Raw genomic sequence first — 26,851 nt, forward strand, 5'->3', positions numbered from 1 at the left:
CAATGACACCACAAATCTCTTGGGCATCTTATCTTTGATCCATCCTCCTCTTCCATTCCCATATCAAGCCAATCATCCATTCCTAAAGACTTTCTTTATCACTGCCTTCTTTTGTGTCTGTCTCTTCTCCCAAGTAGAACTGCAAATGCATTGAGGAAAGGGTTAATGTTTTGTGCACTGTAGGACAGTACTTGTGCCATTACAGGACTTAGCATGCTGCCTTCATATAAAAAGAAGTGCTCAATAAGCATTTGATAGTATGAATGAATATCTGCTTTGAAATTTTTTTATATGTTTTTTTCACTTTCCATTCCTACATCCACTCTTCCTGTCTATGTGTAGATTCCTGCCCTATAAATTTCTAGTTAGTAGCCCTCACTCTGGGTTCTTTCTCCTTCCTTTCATCCATATATCATTGCCTTTCATCTTTAAGCTCTCTGACAATGGGATGTGTTTTTTGCTCCTTATCAGTGTTTTCTTTTTCTTTTTCTCTTTTTTTGAGACAAGATCTCACTCTGTCACCCAGGCTGGAGTGCAGAGGTGTGATCACAGCTCATTGCAGCCTTGACCTCCTGGGCTCAAGCGATCCTTCCACCTTGGCCTCCCAAAATGCTGGAATTATAGGTGTCAGCCACTGCACCTGGCAAGTGTCTTCTCATTTTACTTCATTGGACCAAACTCTGCCTGGCTTCCAAGGCTTACTATAATTTTTCAAGCAGCATTATATGGCATTAGAGTTTACTCACATAGACTGTACGTTGCTGCCTCACTAAATCTACAACGCCCACATATCATGCTCATTCTCAACATTAATCTTTTCTCTTTCTTGGAATACTTTCATTTCCCTGATCAAATTCCAACTTCTCAGTCAAGGCTGGAGAATCATTTTCTCCACAAAGCTTCCCCAAACCTTGTCTTTTTAAAGTCTTAATGGATTTTTCTAATTCCTTAATTCCTTCAGGTACTATAATCAGTACACTTAGGCCTCCAAAGACACACTATTTTATGTTGTTTCCCGCACATAAATATTCCTCCTCAAATAGAATGCAGACCCCTTAGTGCAGTTACCATGATTTACACTTCTGTTGATGCCCATAATATAAGCAGAATGCTAAAAATGTGGTGATCAACATAATTTGTTGAACTGATTAATATAAATATCTTCTGAGGGAATGCTATTTAACCCTAATTTAAAAAATAACAGCTTTTTTGGGATATAATTCACACACCTTACAATTCATCCTTTTATAGTGTGCAATTTACTGTGTTTTAGTATATTTACAGAGTTGTGCAACCATCACCACTATATAGTTTATATATATATATATATATATATATATATATATATATATTTATTTTATTTTTTTTTTTTGAGATGGAGTGTCTCTCTGTTGCCCAGGCTAGAGTGCAGTGGCACAATCTTGGCAGATTGCAACCTCCGCCTCCCCGGTTCAAGCGATTCTCCTGCCTCAGCCTCCACAGTAGCTGGGATTACAGGCATGTGCCACCACACCCGGCTAATTTTTGTATTTTTAGTAGAAATGGGGTTTCACCATGTTGGCCAGGTTGGTCTTGAACTCCTGACCTCATGATCTGCCCACCTTGGCCTCCCAAAGTGCTGGGATTACAGGCGTGAGCCACGGTGCCTGGCCTTATACTTTCATTATCCAAAAAAGAAGCCCTTACTCTTTAGGTATCCACCCCCTAATCCTATCCTCTTCCCTCACTATAGGCAACCACTAATCTACTTTCTTTTTCCAGAAATTCGCTGATTTGGGGCATTGCATATGTATGGAATCAGGTAATACGTAATATTTTGTGATCAACTTCTTTCATTTAGCATGTTTTCAAGATTCATGTATGTTGTAGCATGTATCAGCACTTCATTGACTTCTTATTGAGATACGATTCACAGAATATAAAATTCACCATTTTACAGTGTACAATTCAGTGGTTTTTAGTATATTTGCAGTGCTGTACAATCATCATCATTATTGAATTCTAGGACATTTCCACCACTCCAAAAAGAACCTGGTAGTTGTTAGTTCCAATTCCCGCTTACTCCATCCCCTTGCAACTACTAATGTGCTTCCTGTTTTTATGGATTTGCCTATTCTCTGAACATTTCATATAAACGGAGTGATACAATATATGAGTCTTTGTGTCTGCCTCATTTCATTTAGCATAATGTCTTCAAGGTCCATCACTGCTGTATCTTAATACCTTCCTTCCTTTTATGGCTGAATAATGCCCTGTTGTATGGTTATACCAATAAAAAAACTATTCATCAGTTGATGGCCACTTTTTGGCTATGATGAATAATGCTGCTATGAGCATTCATGCACAAGTTTCTGTGTGGATATGCTTTCAGTTCTCTTGGGTACACACATAGGAGTGGAATTTTGGGGTCACATAGTAACTCTATGTTTAACTTTTGGAAGAACTGCCATACTGTTTTCAACCCTATTTTAACTTGGTAGTTTCCTCTACTTTTTTTTTTTTTGAAATGGGGTCTTGCTCTGTTGCCCACGCTGGAGTGCAGTGGTGTGATCTCGGCTCACTGCAACCTCTGCCTCCTGGGTTCAAGCAATGCTCCTGCCTCAGCCTCCCGAATAGCTGGGATTACAGGCATGCACCACCATGGCCAGCTAATTTTTGTATTTTTAGTAGAGAAGGGGTTTTGCCATGTTGTCCAGGCTGGTCTTGAACTCCTGGCCTCAAGTGATTCATTCCGCCTCAGGTGTGAGCCATCCTCTATTTTTAAATTTAATTTTCAAGTCCATTACTTTTAAGTTTTGTAAGTGTCCCTCTTTACAAGTATCTCCTTGCTGTCTATTCTCTTTGTTCCCTGGCCTTTGCCCATTCTCAGGTTTAAGTCTCTTTGCTCTTCTGTAGATATCTGTTCACGTTTGCAGAAAGATAACTTCCAAGTTCTGTATGTGTATCTCTGCTTATTTCTCCTTATGTATTTATTCTAGTTTTCTTTCTTTGATGAATTTAGTGTCTGTGTCATCCCTCTTGGCCCATGACAAATTTAAGAAACTTTAGGTTGGACATGGTGGCTCACATCTGTAATCCCAGCACTTTGAGAGGCTGAGGCGGGTGGATCACTTGAGGGCAGGAGTTTGGGACCAGCCTGGCCAACATGGTGAAACCCTATCTCTACTGAAAATAGAAAAATTAGCAGTGTGTGGTGGTGCGCACCTGTAATCCCAGCTACTCAGGAGGCTGAGGCAGGAGTATTGCTTGAACCTGGAAGGCAGAGGTTGCAGTGAGCCAAGATCACACCACTACACTCCAACCTGGGTGACAGAGCGAGACTCCATCTCAAAAAAAAAAAAAAAAAAAAAAAAAAAATTAACGCCAAAAGGGAATATTTCTTAAAACTCCTTTTTAATTTTGTGATGAAGGGAGCATCTGTAGTATACATTTCAACAGTAAGTCCAGCATGTCTGTGTTCATCTTTTTCCTCTCCCCTCAAAGTCCCATGGCACCATAAATATCATATGATATTGGTAATGGTTTTGCTAACCTGGTATAAGCAAGCATTCAACAAGAGAAAGATTTTGCAATCTAAGCGTACCAACCATTTGTCTTCTTAATTCTACTTACATGATTAAAAAAATTTGTGCTATGTGAATATTAGGAAAGAAAGAGAGGTAGCATGTACTGCAAACAGAAAGGTGATGGCTCTACGTTTTCCAAGAGAATTAAATGACTATCAACTTAAAAGACTAAAACCCATAAGTTTTGTGGTATATCTGGCATTTAAAAAATGTCAACTAGGAACTATCAATTATTTGTTGAGATAATGAATTCATTTTTGCAATTTTCAAAATAATAAAATAATGAAGCCCAATTTACCAGTCATTTAATTCTGGTAGTTTGCTTCTGTATCACTGTTTTCTGAGCTTTGTGTTTTCAAAATAGACATCCACAGATCACTCTACTAAATTGGAATGGAGGCAGAAGTGGAAGTGGCTCTCCGGGCATGGCATGGGACGGTAATGCTGGCCAAAGAAGAGATGAACTTACAGAGCCAGAGCCCCCCTTGATACTTCTGGTTTCTGTGGCAGAGAGAGTCAGGGCCAGCTGATGAGGATTACACAGTAGGGAAGAGAGAGCAGAGATGAAATTGACTGTTTCTCTAGGCAAGAGAAGCACCTGGTTCCAAAGAATGGAAACCAGGGATATGCAGCCTGGCTATTATTTTTATAATAAACTTCTGATTTGGAGATAAATTAGGGTCCACATGTAATTATAGGAATACAGACAGATACCATATACCACTTACCTATTTTTCCCCATTGGTAATATCTTGCCAAACTGTAGTATAATATTACCATTAGGGTATTGGCATCGATATGGGCAAGATACAGAACATTTCCATCCTCACACACATTCCTCATGTTGCCCTTTTACAGCCACATCCACTTTCCTTCCAACTCCACCCCTTCCCTAACCCTGAGCAGTCACTAATCTGTTCTCCATTTCCATAATTTTGTCATTTAGAGAACAATATATAAATGAAATAATACAATAGGCATTTGTTTAAGATTGGCTTTTTCATTCAGCATAATTCTCTGGAGATTCATCCAGGTTGCTGCATTTATCAATAATCTGTTCCTTTTAATTGTTGAATAGTTTTCCATGGTATGGATGTACTACAGTTTGTTTAACCATTTGCCTGTTGATGGATACCTGGGTTGTTTCCAGTTTTGGGCTACTAAAAATAAAGATGCTATAAACATTTGTGCACGGGTTTTTGAGCAAACATAAGTCTTAATTTCTCTGGGATAAATGCCAGGAGTGCAATTACTGGGTCATACAGTAGTTCCATGCCTAGTTTGAAAAGAGACTGCCAACTGTTTTCAAGAATAGCTCTACCGTTTTACATTTGCACCTGCAACATATGAGTGTTCTAGTTTCCTGCATCCTCCCTGGCATTTGTTGATATTTGTGATATATATCTGTAGATGTATAGATCTACCTATACATCTATAGATATAAATCTATCTATCTGATTATTTTTAGCCACTCAGATAGGTGTGCAGTGATAGCTCACTGTGGCTTTAATTTTCCCAACGACATCTTTTTTGCGTGTGCTTATTTGCCATCTGTATATATACACTTTGGTTCAATGTCTCTTCATGTCTTTTGCCCATTTTCTCATTGGATTGCTTGCTTTTTACTGTCAAGTTTTGAGTTTATATATTCCAAATGAGTCTTTTATTAGATCTGTGATTTGCATATGTTTTCTCAGTCTGCAGCTTATCATTTTCATCCTCTTAACAGTTTTTCATAGGCAAAAGTTTAAAATTTTGATTGTTTGATAATGTACAATGTATCTATTTTTCCTTTTATGGAGCATGTTTTTGGTGTCAAATCAAAGAACGCTTTGTCTTGGTTTTAGATCCTGAAGATTTTCTTCTATGCTTTTTTCCCCTAAAAGTTTTATCGTTTTACATTTTACATTTAAATTCATGATCAATTTTGAGTTAATTTTTTTGTATATGGTATGAGACTTAGACTCATACCATATACAAAAAAAGATTCATTTTTTTTTTTTTGCAATGAATATCCAATTGCTCCAGCACCATTTGTTGAAAAGGCTGTCTTTCCTCCTTTGAATTGGTTTTGCATTTTTGTCAAAAGTCAGTTGGGAATATTTGTGTGGATCTATTTTTGGGTTTCTATTCTGGTCCATTTATCTATGTCTATTCTTTCACCAATACCACACACTCTTAATTATTGTAGGTATATAGTATGTCTTGAAATTAGATAGAATGAATCCTCCCTCCCTTTTCATTCTTCTTTTTCAAAATAGTTTTAGCTCTCCTACTTCCTTTGCCATTCCATATACTTTTAAGAATAATCTTATCTATGGCTACAAAAAAGTCTTGCTGAAATTTTGATAGGAATTGTGTTAAATCTCTATATCAATTTGAGTAGAATTGCCATCTTTACTATTTTGAAATCTCCCAATCCATGAATGTGGTATGTCTCTCCACTTCAATTTTCTTTATTTCACCAGCATTTTGTAGTTTTCAGCATGTAAGTCCTGTACATGTTTTGCTGGATTTACACCTAAAAGTATTTCACTTTTTTGAGTAATTGTATATAATCTTGTATTTTAAAAATTCCAGTGTCCACGTGTTCATTGCTATTATGTATATGGAAATAAAATTGATTTTGTATGTTTATCTTGTATCCTGTTGAAAAATTTCCCCTCTCTTTCTTTAAGAGTTTTATCATGGATGTATGTTAAATTTTGTCAAAGGCTTTCTCTGCATCAATTGATAAAATTATATAATTTTTCTTCTTTAGCTTTTAATACAGTGGATTACAATGATTAACTTTTGAGTATTAAACTGGGATTGCATCCCTGAAATAAATCTCACTTAGCTATGGTATATAATTATTTTTCTTGATTGCTAAATTCTATCCATTAATACTTTATTCAGGATTTCTGTATCTATTTTCAAGAAGGATATTGGTCTGAGTTTCTTTTTCATGTGCTGCCTCTAGTTTTGGTATCAGGCTTCATAAAAAGAATTGGAAGTGTTCCAACCTCGTCTATTTTCTGAAAAGACTGTGTTGAATTGGTGTTAATTCTTCTTTAAACATTTGGTAGAATTCTCCAGTGAAAGCTTCTGGGCCTTGAAATTTCCTTTTTGGGGAATTTAAAAATCATAAGTTAATATTTGTAATAGTTATAGGGATATTCAAATTCTCTACTTTCTAATAGGTAAGTTGTAGTAGTTGGTGTTGTTCAACTAATTGGTTCATTTTGTCTACGTTGTCAAATTTACATGGGTAGAATTATTCCCAGTATTCCCTTATTAACCTTTTTTATATCTTCAGAGTTTGTAGTGATATTCCATTTCATTTCTGATATTGGTAATTTGCATCTTCTTATTTTCTTTGTCTCTCATGCTAGAGCTTTGTCAATTTTATCTATCTTTTAAAATAACCAGGCCAGGTGCATGGCTCATGCCTATAATCCCAGCACTTTGGGAGGCTGAGGTGGTAGTTGAGCCTAGGAGTTTGAGATAAGCTTGGGCAACACAGGGAGACGCTGCCTCTACAAAAAATAATTTAAAAAAATTAGCCTGAATTGGTGGCACACACCTGTGGTCCCAACTACTCTGGAGGCTGACGTGAAAGATTTGCATGGGCCTGGGAAATCAAGGCTGCAGTGAGCCATAATCATGCTACTGCACTCCAGTCAGCTTATTGTTTTATTGATTTTCTCTAATAACTTTGTTTTCAATTTCATTTATTTTTGCTCTTATTTCTATTATTTCCTTCCTTCTGCATGCTTTGGGTTTATTTTCTATTTTTCTAGGTCATTGAAGGAAGAGCTTATTGTTTTGAGACTTTTCGTCTTTTCTAACATATACCTTTAGTGCTATACATTTCCCTCTCAGCACTGCTTTAGCTATGCCCCACACATTTTGATATGTTGTATTTTCACTTTTAACCAGTTCAAGGCATTATCAAAACTTCCCTTGAGATTTTATCTTTGACCCATGGATCATTTAGAAATGTGTTTAATTTCCAAGTGTTTGGAGATTTTCCTGTTATTCTTCTGCTATCAATTACTAGTTTGATTTCATTGTGGTTACAGAACACACCTTATGATTTCAATTATTTTATACTTGTTGAGGTCTATGTTTTGGAAGAGGATATGGTATATTTTAGAATATGTTCTATAGGCACTTGAAAAGAAAGTGTATTCTGCTCTTGTTGGGTACAGTCTATTAGATCCTGTTGGTTGATAGTGCTGTTGAGTTCCTTTATATCCTTGATTTTTTAATTTCTATTTATTTATTTATTTGTTTATTTTTGAGATGGAGTCTCGCTCTGTTGCCCAGGCTGGAGTGTAGTGGCATGATCCTGGCTCACTGCAACCTCTGCCCCCTTGGTTCAAGGAATTCTCCTGCTTCAGCCTCCTGAGTAGCTGGGACTACAGTTATGTGCCACCACATCCAGCTAATTTTTGTAATTTTAGTAGAGACAGGGTTTTACCATGTTGGCCAGGCTGGTCTTGAACTCCTGATCTCAAGTGGCCCACCTGCCTAGGCCTCCCAGAGTCTTATTTATTTATTGAGACAGGGTCTTGTTCTGCCCAGGCTGGAGTGCAGTAGCATCATCACAGCTCACTGCAGCTTTGACCTCCTGAGTTCAACAGGTCCTCCCTCCTCAGCCTCTGGAGTAGCTGGGACTACAGGCATGCACCACTATGCCCAGCTAATTAAATTTTTTTTTTTTTTTTTTTTGTAGAGACAGGGTCTCACTATGTTGCCCAGGCTGATCTCGAATTCCTGGGCTCAAGTGATCCTCCTGCCTCGGCCTCCCGAAGTGCTGGGATTACAGGTGTGAGCCACCATGCCCAGCTTGATTTTCTTTTTAATTGTTCCTTTCCATTAGTTATTTAAAAATACCAAATTGCTGATATAATAGTAATAATAATTGATTTTATTGTTTATTATATGCCAAACATTCTGTTAAGTCTTTTGCATGCATTATATTATTATTATTATTTTTTTAAGTTCTGGGATACATGTCCTGAATGTGCAGGTTTGTTACATAGGTTTACATGTGCCACGGTGGTTTGCTGTGCCTATCAACAGATCATCTAGGTTTTAAGCTGCGCATGCATTAGGTATTTCTTTTAATGCTCTCGCTCCCATTTTCCCCCATCCCCTGACAGGCCCCAGTGTGTGATGTTCCCCTCCCTGTGTCCATGTGTTCTCATTGTTCAACTCCCACTTATGAGAGAACACATGCGTTGTATTATTTAATCCTCCCAATAAGCCAATGTGTTACATACTATCATTATCCTCATTTTGCTGAGGCTTAGAAAGGTTAAGTGACTTGACATTAAGATAACACAGACAGTAAGTGGCAGAGCTGACATTACCCTGACATCAGTGTGGGGTTGCCTGACTTCCAACTGTGTGCACATAACACCTATGCAATCTGAGGCTCTATCAGGATCCTAGAAAGGCTGATAAGTTTTCTTCCAGTTCACATTTGCATAAGGATGTAAGTGGTTATGGGGAAATCTCATCAAGGAATGGTAGGCAGACTTTAATGTGATCCAACAATTCCTGCTCTTAGTATTTGTGCCCTGCATAATTCCTTCCTCTTGAGTATGGGCTGGACCAAGTGACTCACTTCTAATGAAGAAAATATGGCAAAAGTGATATGAGGTCACTTCCAAGCCTAAGTTACAAAAGAACCGTGGTTTCCATCTGGGGCCTGTTTTCTCTTGCTTTCTCTCTCACCTGCTTTGAGTGAAGCCAGGTGCCACGTTTTCAGCTGGCCTAGGAAGAAGCTTATGTGGCAAGGAGTTGATATCTCTGGCCCACAGCCAGTGAGGACTTATGGCTTACCAACAGCCATGTGAGTGAGCTTGGAAGCACATCATCCCCCAGTGAAGCCACACATCCTCATGCCCAGGGCTCCAGCTGACACCTTGACTGTGACACTGGGGTGAATGACCTCTAGGCCTCCTTTGTTCCATTTCTGGTTGCTTCCATGGCTCAGACAGAAAATGGAGTGGTAAAGTGGAGGAGGAAATGGCAGCCATAATCCAGAGGAGTGAAAGAGGTGTGGGGAGGGTAGCAGAGGCACAGGAATGGCCTCACTCATCTGCACACATGATGGCCCTGTGCAGGAGGGAGGAGGATGGAGAGGAAAGCCTCTCCTCCCAATGATGTATCGGTGGAAATGGAGCCTAATCTCAATTGTTGCTTCTTGCTCTTGTTCCAAAATCAACTGCCCTCAGTTGACAGTCATTGCATATGCCTCTTCCTTTTCCTGAGTACCTGTGGGTACACTGTCCTTCTCTTCCTTGGAAATTTAGCCCAGGTTACAGTGCTGCTGTATATGGCTCTACAGATTGTGTACTATAAAAATCCAGATGGAACCATTCATATCCTATGAGATGATTTGACAAGTCATCATCCAGAAATCTTTCCACATCATTACCACTGAATTCTCATCATTTCAGTGCATTAACAAATATTTGAACACCTATTAAGTGCCAAGTGTTGTTCTACATGTTGGGATTTAACAGTGAACAAGATGGATAGAGTTTCTCTTGTTGGAGTTGATACAGGAATAAGATGATAACAATATAATAGACAAAGTAAATTTAGATGTTGTAAAGAAAAGATTGCGTATGTTGGGGGTGAGGGAAAACTTTAGCTGGAATGCTGGGGAGATACATTCTCATGTTCTTCAATAATATACATGACTATATCCTATCAACAACAGATGTTCTGTACTTAACTATTTCTTTTTTTTTAACCTGAAATAGCAGACAATGTGTTGATATGTATACATTGGGTATTTGATGCAACATAATAGAGTTAATTTCTTATTAGCTTTTGCATTTGTCCTAGCAGGATGAAATAGTGTTTCAAGAGAATGCAAATTACTCAATAAACTGAGTAGGAATGTTTAGAAAATTTTATTACTCAATACTTACAAGATTAAGCATACTTTTGTGGTTTTGGTAGTGGCAGAGATATTTTGTAAATTTAGTACATTCTTGACATTTGTGAGCTGTGTTTTCTAGGACCTAGGAGAGTTTTCAAAGTTACAAATTCCACTGCAGCACATAATTTCCCCATAAAACACAGTAAAATATAACCGATATACTTAAATATCCTTTGTGTCTTTAATGGTTTTCTATAAGTACAGGGCTAACAAATTTGTAGAGTTATTTTGTGGCTAAGACCCTTCATATCCTTCGACTTTCACTTTCATTATCAGTATTAGTGGTTGGTTTTCTTTGATGTTTCCCACCCCTCAACTGCCAAAACTAAAAGTCAAGGTTAAAAAAAAAAAACCATGAAAGATATTACATTCTTGACAATGAATAGAAAAGTATCAGAACATACGAAAGTGTTGGCACAAAAGGCTGGCCCACTCTTGGGATAGGGACCCACTCAACACACTAGCTCAGAGGGCTTGTGACTCAAATGAAGCATTAAGAAAATGAGAAATCACCATGAGTCATCAACGATTAGGGTTACTGAAAAATAACTGAAACTAAGAATGTTAAATCCACAGATGCTAAAGGTCTTCTGGTATCTAAATTACAGACCTATAGCAGGAGGGCACAAGCAATCCCTTGTTCATCTCTTTATTGTTAGAGCATATGTGAAATGATTTTGAGGAGGAAGTCAAGTGATGTAGAACTTTCTGAGCTGGATATCTTGTAAGAAATTATTTTGGAACACCACAGATTGGGTTTTTAGCTGTGCCATATATGCATTGCTAGGTTAGTTCCTAATTTGTCACAAATTTAAAAAGGTTCTGAACTTCAGGTTCTTTCTCTGTAATGAGAGCTGCCAATTCCCACTTCCAAGGGCACAGGTGAGGATAAGCTGAGCCAGGGTTACAAGAGAACTTCATAAACATGAAAGCAGCCCATGGAATCAAGGTGTTACTGTTATTCAATCAGGTATCATTGGTTTCAAATTCCCACTTTGTTAAGCAGAATAAAAACACAGGGAAGCACTGACTAGCTGAAATGGACATTGTGTAAAGGGTTTAACTTACTTCTTTTACAAACCACTGACAAAAGGCAGGACCAATCCATTCTCTTGCATGAATACCACAGTCTATCCAAACAGCTCTTTTGAGTCGTGATCGTCTGCCCAGCTGAAAACAAGAGCATTCACAGTAACCAACTCAGGCTTTTAGATTCACTGACCAGCATAATTTAATAAGGTTTCAGCATAATTCTTCACTGTAGTGTGGTTCATTAGGTAATGCATAAAAAGGACAAAGGGAGTTCCTATCTATCTCGAAAGTCCAGGCTTCTTTATGCAGAAACAATATATTTATTGTCCTAATTATAATAAAAGAACTAGAAAGTACAAAAGGAAAAGGAAAATCCCTAAATAGGTTGCTTCTTTATTTTTAAAATTTTTTAATTTTAATTAATTAATTAATTTTTAAGAGCTGAGTTCTTGCTATGTTGCCAAGGCTGGTCTTGAACTCCTGGTCTCTTGCAATCCTGCTGGCTCAGCCTGCTTCTTCATTGTAATATAGTATGTGACTGTTAAGTAAAAAGCTAAGTCCTCCCTCATCCCCTTTCTCTTTCCATCCCAAGGAATATTTCTTAAATAATAGCTATATTTTATAGGTGGATAAAGTCAAATTTTATTATACCACGAAATGAAAACATAAAACAACTTGATTTCTAGAATCAAGTGGTAGATTTTTCTTTACAATCCTACCATATCAATATTACTTTTAACCTGGTTGCTAACCGAGAAATCAATAGGAGATCCTGACATTATAATTACAGGGGATCTAATTTTCATTCATTCATTAATTCACTTCACAAATATTTCAGGAAATCCTTTTTAATGTCAGACATCGTGCTCAGTACTGGAGATTCAAACATGAAAATACAAGGAATTTATACACTAGTGGAGAGGGCAAACATGTAAGCAATCAATCAACCATTATGATGCGAATATCAATAAGTTACCATGGGAACATAAGAGTGTTATGTTGAATTTTCCTAAGTAATAAAATGTGGCTTCTCAGAAGAGGAGCACTTGAGTACTTCAGCAAGACATAAAGCTTGTTTGGCAGACAAGTTGGAGGAAGGCCTCTCAATCCTGGAAGAGAATCTGAGCGCACCATATTGGAGGAACTGTGCCTGCAGTTTGAGGAAGGAACAGCAGATAAAGCTCAAAGTGGATTCCCTGGATACTAAATAAAAGAGATGAGGCTTCCTCCTGTATTCTATGGGGTGCTTTGTGTGTGTGTGTGTGTGTGTGTGTGTGTGTGTGTGTGTGTGTGTGTGTCTGTTTGCTTGCTCATGTTTGAGGGCTCATATTGGCAGCAGTGTGGAGGATGGATTAGAGCATGAGAGGGTCAAGAATGGGGGCTCGAAGGAAGCTCAGTACTGAGGCCACTACTGCAATAGTCCAGGGAGAACAGGCACAGAGAGAAGTTAGGGTAATAGCTATGAGGACAAGAGAAGCAACTGGGGCAGATATAAAATATTCAGAAGAAAAAATGGTCAGCTTTTGGTGGTAATTTAAAGTGAATGGTTAAAGGAGAGGAATTTAGGATGATGTCCATGTTTCTGAATTGGGAGGAGAGGGATGCCATTCTGAATCTGAGGTGCTTTTCTGAATATCCAGGGAAGAGTGTCAAGCAGGCAATGGTGGGTGAATTTAAGGTTCCAGAGGGTGGACTGCAATGGATACAGAGGTCTGGGATGACTATTGAAATTATGGGCTAGATGTGCCTGTCTAGAGAGTGTCTGTGGTATGAAAGTAAGGCTGAGGATAGATTCTCAGGGATTACCTGAACCTAAGGAAAGGATAAGGGGAAAGGAGGCAGTGAGTGAGACCCAGATGGTCAGAGAGACAGGAGGAGAATCAATTAGGAGTGGTTGCTGGCCTTGGAAAGAAGTTTTAGAAGAGTTGTAGGGGCAAAGGCTGGTGAGTCAAAGTCTGAATGATAGGAGAGGAAGTAGAGATGATGATTAGAGGTAAGTCTTTTTAGAAGTTTGGCTGAGAAAGAATAGAGAGCTATAGGTCAGTAGACAGAAGAGAATGCAGGGTCAAGGGATGAATGAGAATAATACATAGCTTCTGCATTAGTTAGTTCTCATGTCGCTATAAAGAACTACCTGAAACTGGGTAGTTATAAATAAAAGAGGTTTAATTGGCTCACAGTTCCGTAGGCTGTACAGGAAGCATGGCTGGGGAGGCCTCAGGAAACTTAGAGTCATGGCAGAAGGAGGAGAGGAAGGAGGCACAGCTTACATGGTGGAGCAGGAGGAAGAGAGCGAAGGGGGAAGTGCTACACACTTTTAAACAACCAGATCTCATGAGAACTCACTATCACAAGAACAGCAAGGGGGAAATCTGCCTTCATGATTCAATCACCTCCCACCAGGTTCCTCCCACAACTTTGGAAATTACAATTTGAAGTGAGATTTGGGTGGGGACACAGACCCAAACCATAGCAGCTTCTTATACATTTAAATAGTTTTGCATTGGTTCACCTCAGGCAGCACCAACTCACAAATACTTCGCATCAATAACTGAAAATGTTGGCAAAAGTATTCTCTGAAATATCCAATGGCAAAAATGAAATATGGTTCAGAAACCTAAGGGAAAGTATTTCTGAGATTATCAGATGATGTTAAATATGAGACTCTATAAAAGATCATTTCATTTCTTTTCCCATAGGTTAAAGTTGAAAAAGATGGATATTTGGTAAACATTATGTATTTACACAGCAATTGCTTATTTTTACCTTTAAAATAAAAAGAGATCTTCCCTCATATGATCTTCCAATAGAGAACATGTGAATGAGGCCTGAGTGAGTTTTATTCAGATGATGCATCCAATTTTGAATCTAAGAGCAAATAAATAAAAACTATGTTAGACTCTCTCAAAATAATGGAGCTTTTAGAGAACAAAAGGAAACAAAAAGACAACAGTAGTTCTCCGAATTCAAGGAGTGCACATGGAATATAAAATTGAACAAAAAACCTACTTCTTATTTTTAATTTTCTTTGGGATACTTAAAATTACATTTAATTTTCTGCCTTTACAGATAGTAGCTTATGTCTTTATATAGTTCTTCCATTAAAGCATACCTTCTACTACCATATATCATTAATATACGGGTAACAGATTTTTATAAAAAATTGATGTGTTCTAGTTTTTTTGAAAATCAGAATTTATTTCTATTTTCCACAAGTATTTAAGAGGTAAAGAAATAAATCAACTTTAGGAAAACTGTCCAAACTACTTGAAAGTGTTTCTTAAAGTCCCATATATTACAATTTGCCACTGAAAGAAAATGCTAAGAAAAAGGCATTATCTTTTTCCATTTAAAGGTTCTTTTACTGAGCTACATATCAGAGGGCAAACTCTGAATAATTTCTCCAGTGATAGTGATACATTTGCATTGATCCATTCATATACACTTATCTGTCATCAGGAAAAGATACATTTGAATGAATAAGGTACTTCATTCCTGACTTAAAAGCCTTATAAGGTGTAAAAAAACAACACAAAAGTGTCCTACCATTTTATGGTATAAAAGGATCAGTGCTGAAAAAATAGCTAAATATATTCAGGAAAGTACCCATATATTCTTTTCTTTCTATTCTTATTTAATCTAATGAGCAGGATATATGTGTGTGTGTGTGTGTGTGTGTATACACATACATTATGCATATCTATATTATATTTGTAAAATTTGACTGTTTTCTAGTGCATGTTAACAGTACTTCTGTGTGCAAAGTTATCTAAAACCTTTCTATTGCTTCTAATTTTAAGCTTCCAAAACATGTTTAGACATGAAATATGTGGAGATAATTTTGAAAGGAGAGTTGTTATCAAGAGAACCAAAAACCGTCTTAAGAATAGAGCAGCATCTCATTTATTTTATGTCTGGCATTCCTTTGTTCAATTCAGAGGAAGCATGGAAAATGTATGATTCATTCATTTATTCCTCTGTCAACAACTATGTATTTGGAGGTCACTGTTTGCCTGCCACTGGAGTTACAGCGGTGAATAAGAAAGAAGTGGCCTGCGCTCATGGAACTTGTAGCTTATTAGAGGTGAAAGGCATTAATCAAATACTCACATAATTACATAATTAAAAACTGTGATAGGTATCACATCCTTGTGCTATGGGGGCATGTAATTCACTAGGTGTTGGTGGAGGAGGGGTTTAATCCAATCTGGGAGAATAGGAACAGCTACCTTTTTGCTTAAGCTGAGATTTGCAGAACAACAACCTGTCCAGGTGAATAGTAAAGGATGTGACAGTGTGGATGAGGTGGCTGTCAGTTCTCCAGGTAGGATAAAAAAGCATGCTCAAAGGTGCAGAGATGCCCCAAATGAAGCTTTGCCTTTGAGAGGTCTCAACTTTGCAGAGGGTACAAGTAAGGTCCACTTTATTCATCATTTCCTCAAACTCTGGTTAGCTTTATGTTTCTTGGCTTGTTAGTGAAGGCCATTATAGCGATAATTATAGCAACATTTCCTCACTCTTCCATTGTGCTTCCTATGTCCTATGTAAAAGTGGTATGGGTAAAGCAAATGAAATTAAAATTATTTTGATACTTCTTATATACCATCAAAGACTTAATAGAAGAGATAAGGTGCCTGGGCCATGTAAAAGCTACATATATTCTTCACATAGTACCTTCTCTGTCTTTATGCTTCTCCCCTAGAAGCATAAAACACATAATTTTCTCCCTTAGACCTAAATGATAAAGATGACTCTGTGAAAAACCAGAAAAAGCTCTTTTGATTACATACTTCTTCTAAGGAGTGATAAACTTCATAATTATATCCAGAGAGGGATCTTCGGTTTCTCTGGGTGTGCAAGCTGCTTCCCTTCTCCAGTGTTTTCTGAAGATCTTCTATGAGGACCCTGAATTTGGAATGACAGACATGATGAAAAGTAAATTGAGATATTGCAAAAATCAGGCAACACCCAGAAAAAATCATATGCATCTATGTAAAGAAAGACTGTGGTGATCAATATTCCTAAAAATACCAAATGTTGGGAAAATGTTATTTTTCAGGAAATGAAAACTGTTAAATAAGTGGTATAATGAATTTAACATGTAAAATTATAGGCAGATATCCTCAAGTGATAGTAGTAGTAACAATAGCTACTGCTGATTTGCAGCTGCAACAACCGAATGATGACTACGAGCACTTAGATTTACTGAGTACTACTTACCTACCAGCAGCCAGGCACTGTGCTGTGTCTTTTATGTACATAATCTTAGCTAATAGCCCTATAGTCTATGTGGTAGATTCTCTTGTTATTGGTATTTATAAAATGGGGAAACTGAGTCTCAAAAGGGTTAAGAACTCACCAATATCCCTCTACTGGTCAGTGCCAAGCCAGAATTTGAACTTGGAAGGTGAACCCAAATTCCAATCTTGAGATTCTAAGTCCAGGGTCACTTCATGAAAACTGAGCCTAGGCTTCTCTTCCATGCCCTTACCACTTTCTTTTTCCTGCTGCTTCTTCCTGCACACATCCCTTCCATCACCAAGAGACTATGCTCATGTCACTACCCAGCACCCCTGACCCAAGACAGAGAGAAAAGGGAAAGGGGAAAAGAAGCTACAGTCCTCAAGAGGAAACTGAAGAAATACCCAGAGTTGGAAAAAGCGATTTCACTGCCTGCCAGCATCAAGAATGCCAAGAGAAGAGAAGCTCAGCCAATTATAGTGAATGCATTTGGAAATTAAAGGCTGAGGCCAGGGCGGGGATTCCAGGCTTTGTGGAACCAGCTCCAGGCAGAGTCATTAGTGTTCTTGATGTGACATGTGAGTTAGATAAATACAGGCCTGTCTTCTCAATGCTCACCAGCCTCCACTAACTAGAGTTTCACACAGTAGCAAAGCACTTCAGTCATTTGCATTACTTAAAGATGTTAGAAAGCCCCCCAGTGATTTTCCTGGGCCTGGCAGGTAGCTAAAAAGCTTTGCTTTCATATTTTATTTTCCAAAAGAACCTGTTGTTTAATGGTTTAAGTGCTATTAAAAGAACATATAATGGCATCTTTAAATAATTTCAAGGCTGAAAGTTATTTAAAGCCTTTAATATTAATGTTTAAAAATTATTTTAAAAAATTATATTGAATCACCTAAAGAAATATTTTCCATTCTATGAAGAAAGTAAATTAACTTAGGGTCATACTGGGTATAGGACATTCTTTTTCATTTACTCATTTGTTATTTATTGAGCACCTACTATGGACAAAACACTTAATCAGGAATTGATCATTGACTTACTGCTTTTTTTGTTTCAATTTTTGATTTTAAAACTGAAAACATTTTAGAAATCGAGGTAAGGTGAGGTGGCTCAAAGCTTGGTTAAGTCCCTGATGGCTGCTTGCAGTGGCTCAAAATGTGAGTGGGAGGTTGTTGTTAGTCTGAACACCATCTGTATTAGTGCTTTCTTTTTTACCCTCAAAGTAGGAAGTTACAGATGATTAGGCTTGTATGGGCTAAAGAATTTTACAATATTGCTAAAGTAAGTCTTGAGCCAAATGAACCTCCATGTCAATTTTCTAACTTCCTTGTGTTAGGAGAGAATCTGGGATGGTCAAGAGGGATACGAGTTTGACTAGGGCTGGGGTAATTATAAATTGTCAACGTATTCCAATACTGCAGGGAACCTTCAGTTATATTACCGTCACCAAAATCATCTATTATTTCTCCTGGCTACTTTTTTCGATCCCCAGAAACTAAGGAAAAAAAAATGTAGACAGATTTGCCAAAGGCGGAAATCTATACCAGAATCTCCTTCTGAATTTCCAGTTGTTAAAGTCTGTGGTACTTTGTTATGGCGGCCCCAGCAAACTAACCCAGGTCTCTGTTCAGTAACTTACATTGCACCCAAACGCAGGCCCTAGGAGATCAACCTTAAATTAAAAAATAATTGTGACACTGGAGGTCAAGTCCCATCTTCCTTGTTAAGTGATTGACTAGAAACTGGCGTATCGATGACAAGGCTGTGAAATGGAGTCTCAGAACGGTCTTTGTAAACTGTTGTAGTTTCTTACTTCTTCACAGCCTGTGATGATTCCTACCCCAGTTGTGTATATTCCTGTAATGGTGACTAGAACTATTCTAAACTTTCTGAGTGATGCCATTACTCAGTACAAAACCACCTCCCCAAAGTTTCCAGGTTGGGGAGGGACCCTCAAAACATAGAAAATTTTTTTTTTTTTTGAGGAGTCTTGCTCTGTCACCCAGGCTGGAGTGCAGTGGCGTGAACTCGGCTCACTGCAACTCCATCTTCCAAGTTCAAGCGATTCTCATGTCTCAGCCTCCCGAGTAGCTGGGATTACAGCCACGCACCAACATGCCTGGCTAATTTTTGTATTTTTAGTAGAGACCGGGTTTCACCATGTTGGCCAAGCTGATCTTAAACTTCTGACCTTAGCTAATCCACCCGCCTTAGCCTCCCAAAGTGCTGGGATTACAGGTGTGAGCCACCACGCCTGATCAAAAAATAGAAATTTCATCACCAACGTTTACAGGTATTTACTTTATAGAATAACCAAAATGTTTTATGGTAGAATGAATCATTTCATAGAGGGGAATTGATCACCTAGGGGCCAGACACATGAGGTCACATTATCTCCACTTTAAAAATCACTATAGCTATACATTATGTATTCTTGTACAGAGTAAATGACAATCTTTTGAAAATACTCCAGGCTACAGTACTAAAAGTCAATTAAAATGATCTCTACCTACTGGGCCCGTGGAATTTAATTGTCTCATATGTTATTATCTTGGGACCAATGAAATGAATAATTCTAAATGACTGTTCTCCAGTGAAGAGGCAACTGATTTAAAACACTCATTTTTTAGACTTTATTCTCTGTGACATAAAGTGTGATATTTTATTCTATATCAGTTCCACATGACCTATATTTAATGACAGGAAATAGAGACTTGTTAAACTAACCGGTATATTCTTTTCTACTGAATAGTAATTAATGAAGCATGTGAGTGGTTACTGAGCACCTATAGATATAATTGCCAAGCTGTTTCCTGTCAGGCATTCAGAGAATCAGATCAGGTCTTCAAAGCTACAACAATGACTAAAATGTGTCCAGTAGGAACAATAGTTTTATGCACAGCTGCGATTCTGTTCTAGAAGCATAGATAAAATACCTTTCTGTAAAAAGCATATCAGTACGTTAATAAAGCTGTAGATATCCTTCTGGCAGGGCAGTCTCTGTGTGGACCAGGGATGTCACTGCCATTTGGCAACCCTTGGCTCAGCCCTCTAGAGAGACTGGGCCCTCACTATTAACTCACAGACCATCAGCCCACCCCAGGCCCTAGGCCCTCCCAAACCCCAAAACTCTGTGCCAGTTTTGACAGTACAACAACCTGCTAAAAAGTTTGGGTAGTTGGAGTGGTCACTTACACGCATGCCTTTCAACCCCCAAATCTTAGGATTCGCAGCAAAGGGTAAGTCACTCCCTCCTTCTCTATCTCATCTCATTAAGTCACCACACTGCACTTCTCCTAGATTTTCCACTGATGTCCCTTCTCGCCTCCACCTGCTTTTCCTTGTGCCCACTGGAGTCTCCCTTCCTTTGTAAATGAACTTCCTACATTCTCTAGCCTCTTCAGGGAACTCTCTTTTCTCATATTCTTGCCGCATCAGACATTTGACTCTTTAAAGGATACACATTCTTTTGTGGCTTTCTATTCCCATCTCCCTCTCCACCTGCCTACCGTGGGGCATAAGGGAGGAAGGTCAGCGTATTCTCTTATACGCCGTGAATCTTCTCGCTTCCAGGGAAAGCTCATCCTCTCTGCAGCGTCATGCCACTTCTTGCTGCTTTCCTCGAACTCTTGGCCTGCCTTGATGTTCCTGCCCCAGAAGTACATTTTCTCCCACCTCCTCTAATCTTGCCATCAGCCAAGGAGATTCAGGATGATTCTCTGGTGATTTAGGCTACCTGTTCTTGACTGCACCAGCCTCAAAGATATCCACACAACACTCCCCTTCAATAATCTCTGTGGCTACCCTGTGGATCTTGTCACGAGCCATAAACATTCTACCCCCGGACTCTGAGCATCCAACTACTCACATTTTGTCAGAACTTCTTTCCTTCTCATTTGTTTTCCTCAGTAACTCTACATTGTTTTCAATACAAAGACCTTAATATCTTCCCTGATTCTTCCACTTGGCCCCCTCATCCGTCCTAGATGCTCCTGCCTTCCAATCCATATTAGACCCAGGGATGAATACTTGAACTATTATTTCACTGAGGACCTCAACTTTCTCGCCACCCTGACCTTTCCATGGTTCTATCCAACAGAAACTCAGCTCTGTATCAGTGTCACACTCTCTCTTCTCTGCAACAACCACCTCTCTTTGTTCATACCCCAGTTTTTCTCTTGGTAATACCCTTTAACCCCTCCTTCCTTACTTTCAGTAGATAACTTTGCTTCTTCATTCATCCAGAAAATTTAGCCATTGGCTGTAATCTTTTTTGACATGTCCACTTTCCTCTCTACAGTCTTAAGTAGATCCACCACATTTATCTCTTCAGTTTTAGAGAATGAGGTATCCTTCCTACTGTTCAGACACTCTTCTTTCTGCACATTCTCTCTGGCATCATCGATGTCTCCCTCCCTACAGGCTCTTCCCTCAGCCTACAAATACACCAAGATTTCCCCCTACACAAACAAATCCCAAATCTACCAGTTAGGGATCAGTGATGCATCTCCTCCCAGTCACTTCTCATTCTCTGCTTCGCTAATTCTAACTGCTAAGAACAGGAATGGACTCTGCTGCTGTGTGTTCTCACCTCCTGTTCACATCTGTGTCTTCTAATGCAAACATTCTAATCCACCTTTAGAGTCACCAATGTTCTTTCTATTGCCAGATCCAAAGGAAACTCATTGTTCCTTTTATTGCTGGATATCACTGCAGCACTTGGTACCCTGGACCCATCTCTTTCTTTAAAGTCTTTCTTTTCTTTTTCAGCTCCTCTGACTGTCTTCCACTTGCTCTTTTCTTTTTTTTGAGACAGTGCAGACAGCCTGCACTCTGTTACCCAGGCTGGAGTGCAGTGGCGCGATCTCAGCTCACTGTAACCTCTGCCTCCGGGGTTCAAGTGATTCTTCTGCCTCAGCCCCCCGAGTAGCTAGGATTACAGGCACGTACCACTACACCCAGCTAATTTTTGTATTTTTAGTAGAGACAGGGTTTCACCATGTGGAACATCCTGGTCTTGAACTCCTGACCTCAGGTGATCTGACCACCTCAGCCTCCCAAAGTCTGGGATTCCAGGCGTGAGCCACCGCACCCGGCCCCACCTGCTCTTTTCTTACTGCTCTAACCATTTTTTTTTTTAAAACCAACCCTCAAAATATCTAAATCTGTTCTAGTTTGTCTACTCAGTTACCCAAGCTAGAAAACTTGGAGTCATCCTTTCACTTCTTCCTTTACTACTTACTGTCCAACATGAGGAGAGTCTGCTCTGAAATATTTTTTTAATGCTCTCGTGATCCTACTATTCTGGTCCTACTCAGAGCCTCACTCCCTCTTCCCTGGACTAGTGTTTCCTATCCCCTTCACCCCGCCCCACTAACATGTGCCTCCTTTGCAATGGGGCAGCACCATCCACAAGACTAGGTCTGAGCTCCTGCCCCTGCACATAAGATTTCCCACAATCTGAACTCCCTGTTTCTCCAGCATCATTTCTTTCTGCCCTCTGACTTGCACTTCATACACTAACCACTCTGCACTTGCATGCTGCTTCTTCCTTTGCTTGTGTGGTCTCCTCTGCCTCTGCCTGGCTGGCATAGCTCCTGCAGAAAGCCTTTTCCACTCCTGCCTTCTCATCCACCCTCTAGGCCTTGCTAGGCTGCTCTCCTTTCTTCACAGAAAAAGGTCTATCTTTTCACTGATCACTTAGTGGTAACAGTGAATAGTGAAATGAAAGGTCCACATCGTTGCTCCCATCCCCCATTGGACTAATAAGCTCTTCAAGGTGAATATATTCATGTCAGTTTTCCCCATATGAAAAATTGTACCCAAAACACTGTTGTAAGTACTTGATAAATAACCTAAATACAACTACCATTTGGTTCAGTTTAGTACCAATAAATTTTATAGCAAGTGAAAAGGAATGCTTACTTGTACTGGATGTTGGCTTCCTGTAAGAAGGCTAACAGGGCTCGGGAACCATTTTGGGGGATATGGACATCAGTAACTGTTCCCTCTGATACATAGGAGATACTGCTGGGCTGCCACAGGTCCACCTGTAGTGCAGGAACCAACCTATAATTCATATCCAACGTAGGGGGGGAAAATCTGTGTCACAATGTCAAACACATTCTTTTGTTTGCATATAGTAACACCAAACATATTTTGGAATTAGACTTAATGCTTGCATCATCAGGGTAAAACTATTTGATCTTGAATTTGAGTTTCCAAATTATATCATATCCATATAGAATTTGATCATAATTTGCAAATAATAGTTTGAAGACCAATATATTAAAGCTACAAGGTAAAAATGAGATAAAATAGTTTTAGGTATAATTTTGATATGGTTTTAAAATTATTTGCTATGCAAATACTTGAATAATTGTAAGAAAAAAAGATATAAATCACCCTTCATCCTACCACATAAGAACACTGTGGTAGCTGGGGAGTATTTGGTAATTTCAAATGGAACATTCTCTCATTCTTGGTCTTTTTTTTCTTTTTCTTTTCTTTTCTTTTTTTTTTTTTTTGAGACAGAGTCTTTCTCTGTCACACAGGTTGGAGGGCAGTGGCGTGATCTCAGTTCCCTGCAATCTCTGCCTCCTGGGTTTAAGCAATTCTCCTGCCTCAGCTTCCTGAGTAGCTGGGATTACAGGTGCATGCCACCTGGTCCAGCTAATTTTTGTATTTTTTTTTAGTAGAGACAGGGTTTCACCATATTGGCCAGGCTGGTCTTGAACTCCTGACCTCAAGTGATCCACCCTTCTTGGCCTCCTGAAGTGCTGGGATTACATACGTGAGCCACGGTGCCCCACCTAGATGGACCATTCTCTAGGTGCCTGCTCTTCCTCCAACACATGCCTTTCTCCAATTCCTACTCAGCCTTCACTTGTCAATATAAACATCCCTTTTCAAGGAAGACTTGGCTGCTAGGGTAGGTCTCCTTGTCATAGTTTTTAGAGCACCTGGTGCTTCTTTCTTGATGTAGCTTCCTCTTGCCAGAATGTAAGCTCCGGGAGGGCAAAGCGTTTGCCCATTTGGTTACCACCCATCCTGGAACAGTGCCTTGTGTAAATTAGCCACTCAGTGTTTGTTGCAAGAGTGTAGACCTCCCCCTTTGTAGTAATTCACTACATGTTCAGTATTTTGCAGGAAAGCAGAAGCCACATCTGTTTCCTTACTATAGTGTCCCCAGTGCCTTAGCCAGTGCTCTGCACCTGGTAGGAGCTTGGCCTTCATCAAAGGCACAATGGAACGCAGATGGAAGGGACGAGAGCCCTATCTCTGCAGGAGTTTGGAGCATCATTTCTAATTAGGCACAGTTTGTCTTCACAGTCCTGCCTCTGTCTACCTCTGACTGCTCTGGGCCTCCCTCTTCCTGCATCTCCAGTCTTGGAGGATGCTGCAGGGCCTTGATCTCTGCTAAGCCCTTATCTGATAAGGTTTAGTAACTTTATCTTCACTTAAGTATCAGTGCCTGCATTCTGTTAGGAACTCTAGAAGACCAAAAATACTTTGTGACTCAGGAAAATAAACTTCTAATGATACAATTTAGCCTGGAACAGGGTAGAGAGGCTTTTATTTTGGGGACAAAGAGTCTACCTGTTTTCTTTCATGCAGCTGACTCCTCCACTCGCTTGCAAGGGCAAATCTGACTCAGCTAACATGCCAGTCCAACAATCAGCGCACAACGGAAGTGTGAGGCTGGAAGGGATGCTGAGAGGTCATTCAATCCATCTGTCAGCCCTTGGGCAAGGACATATCTAGGACTGCACCAAACTCTCCCCAATAGGTGTGTCTAAACCACATCTTTTAGGTCTCCAAATAGAGGAGAGTCAACAATATCCTAAATGAACTCATTCACATTTAACAAGATTGTCAGGCATTTTTCTTAATCCCTTCTATTGCAGCATAGTTTCTTTTTCTATTTTTTTATTTATTTTTATTTTTTTGGCGTTCTATTCTTCAGTGAGGAATAGCTGGTTTCTTGCCTTTATAAGAAAAAGCATGTTGGTATCTTTCACTTTTCTTTATATATTAGATTTTCGAATCCTTTAGAAGATCAAATCTTTGGGACTTGCCTCTAAACCCATTACAGAGGCAGATTTTTTTATATTAAGGATAACAGTTTGCTGCCACCCCTTAATGCCAGTGGATATGAGGAAATTGTGCTGTATTCAGATAGAGAGGCACAGGTAGCTAAAATAATATGAATTACCACTCTGGAGATGAGTCTATAAGTGCTATTTTCTGGGGTACATGCTGAAGTAAGAATCTTCATCCCACAGAAGAGAGCAGCTTCTCCACAGGAAAGTTCCATGAAATGGACCCTACAGCAAGGCTTGGAGAAAGCTTCCTGGGAAACTTTCTCACAAAGTGTGCTCAGAAATGTGCTCGGAAAGCTGTTGGCCTAAAGGACAACTGATAAAAAAGAATTTGCAAAATCAGGAATTCTATTTTGTTGTGATATTAGGAAAGTAAATGAAAATGAATTATTAGTTTTTCTCCAGTAATATTTTAAGGAAAGGGTATTTGAATAAGCAGCATGGATATTTCAGTCAGGGTGGTGGCAGGCAGGTGCCTATAGAAGACTTACGGGACAGTAATTACCATCTGAGATTTATAATGTTTCATCTACTTTATAGATATCTTTAATCTTTTCAATAACACTTTGAGGAGGAATTAATTGTAGATACATTTAATGAAGGAGAAGATTCAGGTTCATAGAGGCTAAGTCACTTTCCCAAGGTTGCACAGGTACAAAATGGCCGATACAAGACATGCTTAACAGCAGTGTCCGTAATTTACTGACCCAGTTCATGTCTTCAGGATCTTCCGAGAATATGCCAGAAAAATAAGCATCTTCCAACTTCCTGACCTAGTATTTGGGGAGGTCTGGTCAGTAGGTCTCACATTCTGGTCTTTCCTGTGGGGTTATTTGTCCCATAAATTCATATGCAGGTATTTCAAGGTTCTAATCAGCCCCCTGTGTGTAAGTTCCTATCAATAGTTTCCTTAGGGCCTGATCACATCTGGATGAGATAATTAGTAGTTCTGAACTGCAAAGCTCTGTGATTCTGGGCTACAACATAACAAAAGTATCAAGAACCTTATCAGGATGGTCCAAGGCTGTTTGCCAACCATTCCAGGTATTTGCTGCAAGCAGCCATCTGATACTCCACAGGAAAGGATACCTCTTTGTAGAGCCTTCTGGCCTAGGAACCTGGTGACTATTCCCGTGTGTTCTTTTCCTCACATGATTACTAGTCACATATATACAGACATATTTAAGAGGCCAAGGTATTTCAGTGTCTTGCTCAATCTGACAGCCATGGGCTGGAATCCTAGCTCTGGCAGCATTGGCTATTTGACTTTGGGGAGGTTAACATTTTAACATTTCTGAGCCTCAGTATCCTCATGTGTACTGTGAAGATAATCTTAAAAACATACCCAGCAGGCTTTCTTGGAGGATTAATTGGAATCATAGAAGCAAAATAGCAGAGGGTCACATAGTAGGAGCTCAAAGGATAATCACTGTTTCTTATTATTGCTATTTGAAAAGCATATGAAAAGAAGGGCTGAGGTTCTTTTGAAAAGCTGAGGCTATTTGAAAAGCATATGAAAATAAGGACAGAGTTCAACTTCGTATGGTTAAGATGAAGAACATGGTGAGATTGTGTCCCCATTCAGAGAGATTAAAACCTAGAGATGGCTTTAAGGGTATGGGGGCAGGAAGCAATAAATAAACGAAAAATATAAACAGTTGCAGGAAAGTTTCCTAGCACAAAGTCAAATGGCTGAATTAGAAGCCACTATAGTGGTGATGAATTCCATGGGCCCTGGAGTCTGACTCCCTACGATCTGATCTAGGTTCCCATTTAGTCTCTGTGTGATTTTGGGAAGTTTCCTTAACTTTCTGGGCCTTGCTTTCTTCTTTGGTAAATTGAAGATGATAATTATATCTTCCTTATTGGTCAATATTTAATAATGTTAGTAGTGATAGCGGCAGGAGACAGACAAATTCCTAGGCAGACAGGGACAGGTACCCGGTGAAACCCGATCT

General features: G+C 39.1%; 1 protein-coding gene across 3 annotated transcripts in view, besides 1 other annotated feature; it reads right to left on the reverse strand.

Annotated features, from left to right (window-relative positions):
- The window catches only part of CPA6 (carboxypeptidase A6), a 324,323-nt gene that overhangs the window by 73,169 nt on the left and 224,303 nt on the right, over nucleotides 1-26,851 (reverse strand). Inside the window, exons 3-7 of one of the 3 annotated variants that reach the window (NM_001440615.1) lie at nucleotides 22,717-22,841; nucleotides 16,335-16,449; nucleotides 14,311-14,412; nucleotides 11,581-11,682; nucleotides 10,468-10,594 (exon numbers count right to left, since the gene is read on the reverse strand). In NM_001440615.1, the coding sequence (NP_001427544.1) occupies nucleotides 10,487-10,594; nucleotides 11,581-11,682; nucleotides 14,311-14,412; nucleotides 16,335-16,449; nucleotides 22,717-22,841 (552 nt within the window). In that variant the 3' untranslated portion in view covers nucleotides 10,468-10,486. Of the gene's footprint in view, nucleotides 1-10,467; nucleotides 10,595-11,580; nucleotides 11,683-14,310; nucleotides 14,413-16,334; nucleotides 16,450-22,716; nucleotides 22,842-26,851 lie in introns of those variants that run through there. The other 2 variants (NM_020361.5, XM_017013646.2) reach the window with 2 other exon arrangements.
- Nucleotides 17,104-17,706: an enhancer, noted in NCBI's record as "OCT4-NANOG hESC enhancer chr8:68424545-68425147 (GRCh37/hg19 assembly coordinates)". NCBI's record gives its function as "activates a minimal SCP1, AML or CMV promoter by ChIP-STARR-seq in primed H9 embryonic stem cells {active_cell/tissue: H9 hESC(primed)}" and the evidence as "EXISTENCE:reporter gene assay evidence [ECO:0000049][PMID:30033119]".

This window comes from Homo sapiens, chromosome 8 (assembly GCF_000001405.40).
Source record: "Homo sapiens chromosome 8, GRCh38.p14 Primary Assembly".
Taxonomy (NCBI): Eukaryota; Metazoa; Chordata; class Mammalia; order Primates; family Hominidae; genus Homo; species Homo sapiens.